The following is a 9,071-nucleotide window of genomic DNA, read 5'->3' as shown; positions in this document are numbered from 1 at the left end:
TGCTAGGCCAATAAGCAAACAGTTAATTAAAAAGAATGTATGAATTATAGCTCTATGGCAGAAATGAAAAGCTGAATTAAATCGCTGAAAATTTTAAAAATAAAAAATAAAAATTTGCCTGAAAGTTTATGACTATTACATAATATGCATAATGGGGAAACAAGAGAACCAATTCTATAAAAACTTCACTGAGAAGCTCACATTCAGGGGACAGCAAAAACTTACCAATACAGAATAATATGAACAGAAAAAAATGACAATAGTCAAGTTCCTTCAATTCTCGGCAGCAAATTCATTTGATCTCGGATTGCATGGAAAGTATACATCCATCCATTTGCTTTTATTCAGAGATATTTCTGAGGGGAATTTTGCAAGACTGTTGTTCTGGAAATTAGCTTTCAGAGTTGCATATGCCAGAACGGCATTCTTGGAATTTGTTTTAAAGAGAATCCCGTTGAGATGTTAAAGAAATGCACAATATACACCAACACAAAGTTATTTTGAAATCAAATAATAAAAGATTTCTTCATGTATATTTTATATCCCTACTTAATAATAGAATAATTTATATTTTCACGGTATGTTTTTATTATGTCAGTTCAGATTATTCTATTTCTCATGTGATATCAGCCCAATTTCATACACTACACATTGGGGAAATAATAGGGAAAAGTGAAAACATAGTGTTTATAAGCTTGTGATAGTGTCTAGCTCAAAGGACAACTAGGCAGTTTCTCCTGCGTATTTACAGAAGGAACAAGTGGATTGTTGAATTATTTACTCATTTCTAGCCCACAAACTATATTCAATAATAGATAATGAGGGATGTCATAAAATTTTGTCACAGATAGAAAAGAGCAAACATATCAGAGTATGTATATATAAGCACATATAATAGCACTGTCTTATTTGTGACATATTACAGACGTGTTGTTAAAGTTGCATACTTTCTTTATATAGAAATTAACATATTTATGAAAATATATGAAACACTATCATGAGTACATAGTAATACTTATTTTTAATTATATGATGAACTTCTAAGAAATAATGTTGAATTAATTTTAAAATTAAGAAGAGAAATTGTTATTTGGAGATTTACTTTTCAACAAAAAGAGCTCTACTTCATATTAAAAGCAAAATAAACTTGTACTTCAAAATATTATTTCGGCATATATTAGCATCTTTATGTCTTTCTGTTTTTTCTTTCTAAATATACTCAACTAACTCAACAGTTACAGTGATTAATTAGTAGACTGAACTTAGGACACCTCAAGTATAGATAGTATTTATACTAACTGAACCCTGACATTGGATGGGCTTTATTTAAAAATAATGTTTGTTGATTTTACAAACTATTATATTTACTTCTATTTTGTTTTAATTTCTTTTAAAGTTTCTCTTTAATATTCTTTGATAAATTAACATAGGTAATAAGTCTAATATATTAATATAATATAAATAAAAGACCAAATACAATGAATAACTCTCTGTGGACCTTCCACAATTTAATAATATTAGTTTCCAAATTTGAAATACCAGCAAATCATGAAACATTTCTTCCACACAATTTATGATAAAAATATTAGTTTAAATTCAGTCACATTGTGATAAATATAACATGCAAGTACACTACATTTTTTTCTAATACTGATTAGTGTATCACAGAATCAAATTCATATTTGCATGTCACACTTTGAGTTTTTGAAAAAGAACACAGAAAGATTTTGTGGCTAAAAACAATTCCAGTTGATATATATTGAGATTTAACAGATTGCCAGTTCCTTAACTAACTATTGGCAGCACAACGAATTAGACAAAATTTAATATCTAACGATCCTAACTTGTTCAATTGACAGATCACATAAATCAATTTTATTATTTTATAAAGAAACAAACCAAAAGCTAGCAAGAACAGTCTTGGACAAACTTAACAGAGCCCATAAAACTTACAGGCAAGTATAGGAAAAGTGCCTTGACATAAAGCACAAGGGCCAGCAACAGTGGGAAAGATGTATAAGGGAGTATGATTTCTTACCACCACTAAGCTGGAAGGAGCAAGGGGATAATGTGATTGATGAAAATCAGGAAGGGGAGGCTAGGGAAAGTCATTTTCCAGTAGCTGTGGCCTTTACTCTGCCGCCACGAAGTGAACCTAAAGGAAATAAACAGAAGAAATTAATAACACATCCGTACACTCCTCCCTTCCTCAGATCTACTGCTTGACTTTACGTGTGACTTACACTAACTGGAAGCAAGGAAGCAATGGAGCCAAATAATATATACAAAACAGTCAACATCTAGAGGCAACGTATAGCATGGTGGAGAGTAATTCTGGACAGGCAAATGCATGATATCCACATTCTCCACCCTTTTGGCCCTCAGCATCTACTCCTTTTCTTTATTAAGGTGAAAACCTTGTACTCCCAATACAGTCTCTCATAATCTATTATGTAATCATAGGTGATATTAATTTGATTATACTTCTTCCTAAAACCTAAAATACTAGGTACGCAGTGTTCTTTATATAAGGTAGTGGGAAAGGGTTGGTAAAATGAAATAATTTATTAATGTAAAGCATACTACCATAGTCCTCTCTTTTATATTTAGTCATAAAGCCTAATATTCTAAACATGTTCAGCTTCTTCCTACTACATGTTCCCTTTAACTTCTGCAGGCATCTCAGCTGGACAGGGTCCTTTTGTTAGTGGAGAAACAAACGTTCACTTCTGCATTATGTAAGTCCTTGTGAGTCTTGTCTTGAGTTTCTGAAGGTGTTGTATTAGGATCATCGGAGAGGGACAACTAAAAAGCACCTCAGGGAGTTGCACTGGATAGAAAAAATTTTATTTTCCCTATTATGAGGCAGTGAGCCAATTTCTTCTAGAAAGTTAACAGAGCAACCTTCTCCTCTGCTACAGATTCAGTGGACGAAGAACCCAAAATGTGCAGGTTACAATCTCAGCTTCTAATTAATCAGACACGTGATTTGCTTCTCTCAGAGAAGCATTCATCCCTCATGCACTAGGACCTGAAAATCTTAAAACCCAAAGCAGAATTTCCTCCAGTGAATTGATAGTTGTAATTGTGTGATAATACAGTCACACCTCCTTCCCTTCATTTCCATATACTTCGTCTATGGCATAGATGCCATTATAAAGAGACTTTGGTTTAAGGAATATACCGTAACATGATAGAGAAACTCCAAAGTGTAGGTTCCTTAAATAAACTTTTATTTGGCTGTTTCACCATGTAAGCTGCTTCTAGGTGATGGAGTGTAGTGAAACCAGTGAATTGAGTGGTAATGAACCTATTTTATCTTGCAGTACAATCACGTTTGAATAAAGTTACATCTTTAAAACACAAATCTGAAAATAACTTTACTGTTTTTAAAGCATTCAGTAATTTTTCATTTCCTCTAAAATCTAGCCCCAAACTTATAATATAAAATACAAATGTAAGATCAGGCTTTAGACTTTCTGTTTTCTTTTATTGTCTACTAGCATTTTGTAGATTCTCAAAATATAGCTACATGAGACCACTTGCTATTTACATTTTTAATTTTTTGGACATTTGGCTATAGTCCTGCATTTCTGAAGATGCCTTATGTCACATTTGTACTTATCCAACACTCATTCTTCAAATTCGATTCAAAGGCTATTTCTTCTAAATTAGCTAGGCCTTTACAGCAATTTTATAATTTCTCCCATTCTGTATCTTTTAAAAAAATCTGCTGAAATCTCAATGAGAGCAATCAATATTACATGTACTGTACCGTTCTGCAACTCTGTTGCTCACTTCTGGGTTTAAGCTCCTTGAAGCCAGGGAACCATGGTACTGATACTTTTCAATCGTTATTTGTTGGATTTAAATTAGCGCAAATTTGTATGTTAAGAAAAACATGATAAAATCATAAATGATGGCCCATCATACTTTATTATTAAGGCTTTCAATTTGTTTTTCATCTTTTCTTCAGGGACCTATGTTATAAGCAGAGTACTTAAGTGGTGCTATTTGCATTTCTGATGTTGTATAATGCATATTTGATTATTCTCTGCTATCAACTTTTGCAGAAGTGGCTGCTCCAAGTAGAGAGGCAAAACATCTTCAAAGTCTCCTGCTGACTTAGCGAACACTGTAAATACTTTTGAATAGGTTACTGAGTACTTAGAACTTATTTGTTATCAATGATGATTAAATCAGCAAACATGTATTAAAATGTGGGTAAACCTACAGTTTAATAGGATAATAGCATCTTACTGTAAGAGTGTGGGATCATAACTACTTTCAGTGTTTTAAAGTATGTGTAACCACTTAGTTTTGTAATAAATTTTGCAAACTATGAAGGCATTAAAAATATGAAAACTATTTTTAAAACTCCAGATAATTGTTCAAAAATATTCATTTGTCTATATTTTCTGATTTTGTTACGTTACAAAATGTTCATTCAATAATTATGTGAAGCTGAAAACTGAAAATTTCAGTTTACAAAAGCACGCTGAAAATTCCCACTTATTTACAGTAGATACTAATAATTTGTTGGGAAATAATGCAAATTGGTTGGATATTGTAGTTTTATTAGCAATAAATAAGACGATAATGTCCACAAATTTAGGGTAAACAAAAAGTTTATTTTTTAGGATGATATTATGGCTTTGTGTAATTTTTATTACAGTTTAAACCTAATGTCTTATGTAATCATATCTTGGAATTAAATATGGAGGTGTATCAAATATTTGCTGTCACCTCAACTTTCACAGCATAATTAGTAGTGTAAATGTGCTGGAAATTAGAAAAATAGTTTGCTCATTCATTTGATTATTCATCAAACTTGTATTGCTTTTTTTACTCATTCAACAAATACTTAATGTATACTGACTATGCAGGAGCATTTGAAGAATTTCTGGGAACATAATGATAAACAAAACACTGATAGCCCTTCAAAATGCTTAATGATCATGGAGAATCTAAACAAAGTACTACAGATAGAGAATACCTACCTAGATGAATGAATGGATGGTTAGATACATACATACATACATACATACATACATAGTAAGTGTGTAGTTAAATAGATTAGTTAATGTGAAGAAAAACTGAAGATAAAATTAATGAGTATAACAGAAATATCTAATTGAGATTTGAGATTCAGATTAGGTATATTTGAAAAATGAAAAGCTATGAAAGGTAACCCAGTAACCAAAGAGAAGGGCATCCCAAAAAAAGGGAGGAATGCTTGCTTTGGTGTGATGAATACTTTATGGTGTTCAAGGAACTAGAATAAAAAAGTAGAACTAGTTTAATGAAGGGAAAAGTGGAAGCAAGAGAGACTAGATTTGAAAGTAAGGCAGGAATAGAAAATAGCAAAGAGGAAACATGTAGACTTTGTGAATTTGCCTAATTGGTATGGAAAATTATTGAATTGTTTGTATCATAGAAAGGTTGCAGTATTATGATTATTGAAAAATCACTCTACAGAGAAAATTTAGGGACCAAACTTTGGTGCTAAGAATGGAAGAAGGGAGACATGTAGAGGCTTCAGGTCATGCACAATGATGGTGGCTATACAAGGATGGTGACGGGGGCTAGGAAAAATAGTGGATATATGTGATATTTATCCAAGACGTTAGATATGTATAAAATGGTAATATTTTGAATACCAAAGTAGGGAGGAAATTGACAGATAAGATTATTCAAAGATAATCAATCCCCTAGCTTTTAGGAAGAACCAACTTGTTAGATGAAATAAAATTTATTGAAATGAAGAGACACAGGGAGTCTAAACACAGACTAAATTGCTTCACTAAGTTGTTAGGAGCTAGGTTGTAGGACTGGAATGGGGAAGCGGCAGGATGGGAGATGAGTCATTCATTCAATTTTGAAGATATTAATCTTAAGGTGGCTAAGAACACAGGTACAATGGACAATGCAATATTGCATTTGAATATATGGATCTGGATTGTTACAAATAGAAAATATAATTTTGATAGATGATACCAGATGGTTTAAAAGACTTGTAAATAAATTTATCTAGAGCTGGAGTTGACATGATAAAACAGAGTGTGGAAATGAGTTTGTCTAGTATTGATACAGCAGGTTGAATAGTTAGAGCTATGAAATGATAGAGAGGAAATATGTAATCTGATGAATATTAAGAAAAGAAAGTATTTCAAAAGAAATATTAATTCAATTGTGTGATGTCAAGCTAATTGACTAAATATGTTAAAAAATAATATTAACATCAAGATTACTGATATATTTGTTTATATTTCATGGAAAGACATATAATTTGCCTGCATGTGTTATGCCTAAAATTAAAACTAAGGAGGATTTAAAATATTAATAAGTTGCATCGCATCAATAGATTTTAAAAGAGAACCCTTAGAGAAAAATAAAATTGCATGTGAGTTTCCTTATAAAATGAAACTGATCTATAGCATTAATTAAATTTAGAAATTGTTTATGTTATAATCAGTCTCTACAGAATGTACAGCATTGCATGAACTTATGAAAAGAGAGTAATACATGGATTGTTATCAATGTTAAATAAGTATGGTATAATAACCTGTTGAATTTTAATGATATTTAGAGATAGTGAGGTTCAAAGTTAAAACTGGCATTAAATGGTTTATAACAGGTAAACTCCTGAAATTCTTCAATGTATAAAATTAGAGTCAAATTTGTTAAAGATAAAGCCTTAATGACATTCAGAACAAAAGAAATATCCTTTGATCCATAACCACTCCATGTTTTGCTTGAAATGCATTTATGTTTAATAGCAATTACTTGAATCAAAGCAAAATTAATCCTCATTTCATCTGTAGTTAAAAAGCACCTGCGTGGCTTTTACAAATTCAAAGATCGAGATATATAGAATTCTGTTTCCTACCTACTCCATTATTTCAGGATTCCCTAGAAAAGCTCCAGTCTTACGAAAGCAGCTGCTTGTATTTAGCGATAATCCTCTGTACTATTAGTTTTGCCTTTTGGGATAGGAAATTGATTACCTGACCTTAACATAGTGAAGACTCTGTGTGTGTCTTTCTCTCTGCCTCAGACAGTAAATCAGTTATGTAAACAGTGAAGAATAATTAAGAGTACAATGATGATTTTAGTTTTATTAGAAAAACTAAGACTTTCATTGGTTTGTTTTTATTTTCCCTAGCAGGTTACAAATTCACATGCTGCTGCCTTAAGTAATGCATTTTTGGGTGAGTTTTTGATAATTTGTAAGCACATTTATAAACACTGTAGCAAAGAGAGCTGATGGGAAGAGGGGTGACATTAAATAGGTTTACATATCATGATGCCTATATCATGATGTCCTTATTTCAATGGAAAAAGTGCTTTTCAGCTTGGAAACTCTTTCCATTCATAACCTCAACAAAACAGACCAAACACAAACAACAAACTGAACATTTTCTCTTCGTTATACTTGGTTAAAGTTCTTCATTAATCTATTAGTAATGAAGAATTAAAGTTAGTGTCAATGTTCCCTTGAATGCTTTAATTATTTGCAAAACAGAATTAACATTGTTCTCAAATCCAATCAGCAGTCAGTGATAATTTACAAATACTATTGTTTCTTGTCCTTACAGTAATTTATTGATGTCCCTTAAAACCTTATGAAAGAGTTTAACAGACCACTGAGAAAAATTTTATCACTCCAAAGCAGATAGGTAGTCCTTCCTGTAAGTGCTCACAGCCAACATAGGCAATGACTTAGTTACTTTCTGGATCATAAAGAAAATGCAAGTGAAAAAACAAAACTAAACAAAGAACCTCATGAAGGAAGGATTAAGATTGCGAATTCTCAGGGGTATGTGTAGAAAACAGACACTATACCGATTTTCTAAGACTGATACACGCACACACACACACACATACACACACACTGCCACGTTGTTTCACAATTTGTCTTTGAAAATGTGTGATTTTTATTCCCCAAGCTTACCTTTTCTTTAAAATGGTAGTCTTCCAAACTGTTTTTTTTTTTAAAGCCTTCCCTTTTCACTTGACATGGACCAGAAGCTCTATTTTCTCCTCTGTCATTTAGCCATTAGAAGCAGAGTCTAGTCTCCACAACACAAACGATATCCACAGAGCTTGTTAACCCTCTGGGTTCAGCAATCACTTTATTTTAGGTCTCTCTGTAGATCCCTCTCTCTTTCTAATTTGTTTAGGTATGCAACTGAAAGTATGTTTGCCTTAACCAACATTTGCTTTATACAAATATTACTAGTATTTATAAACCAAGGGTTTCAAAACATGTGGTTTGCCATATTGTTTAAAGCAGAAGTCAAATTATAAATAACATTATAGAATCATTCACACCATTTGTTAACATAAAATTTGTCTTGTTTCTTGGTGGGTTTTATTTCCTTTATTCCTTTTAGGATACATTTTTGTTTCTAAATGTTCTGAAGAATATTGGAGTTTTCACTGTTTTTTTTAATATCATAGATTTTTAAAATACATTAATCTCTTTATAATTTTGAATTTTATCATCCATTAACATTGGAAATCTCATTATTTGGCTAGGTTATCTTTAAAGTAATATTTTTCATTTCTCCATCAATATTTTATAAATTGTTTTTACATATATCTTATGGTTATGGTTATGGTTACGGTTGATGGAATATTTATTTTATTGTAATTTCCAATTAGTTACTGCAATTTTATGATTCAGTTTTTACTTTTTTATGCTTATTCTCTAGCCATAAAAATTATTTTTAAATACTTTTGATATACTATAGACAATAATATTTTCTGTAAATGATATTTTTATTTCTTTTTTTTAATACTTGTGATTCTCATTTCTCTTGGCTTACCTTATGGAATTAGCTATGGCTTCCAGTATAATGTAAAATGATTGGGATATAGCAATTTTTCTTTTTTTTTTTTTTCAGACGGGGTTTTGCTCTGTAACCTAGGTTGGAGTGCAGTAGGGCGATCTCGGCTCACTGCAATCTCTGCCTCCCATATTCAAGCAATTCCCCTGCCTCAGCCTCCTGAGTATCTCTGGGACTACAGGTGTGTGCCACCACTCCTGGCTAATTTTTTTTTTCTAT

This window comes from Homo sapiens, chromosome 13 (assembly GCF_000001405.40).
Source record: "Homo sapiens chromosome 13, GRCh38.p14 Primary Assembly".
Taxonomy (NCBI): domain Eukaryota; kingdom Metazoa; phylum Chordata; class Mammalia; order Primates; family Hominidae; genus Homo; species Homo sapiens.
This window is presented reverse-complemented; position numbering follows the sequence as displayed.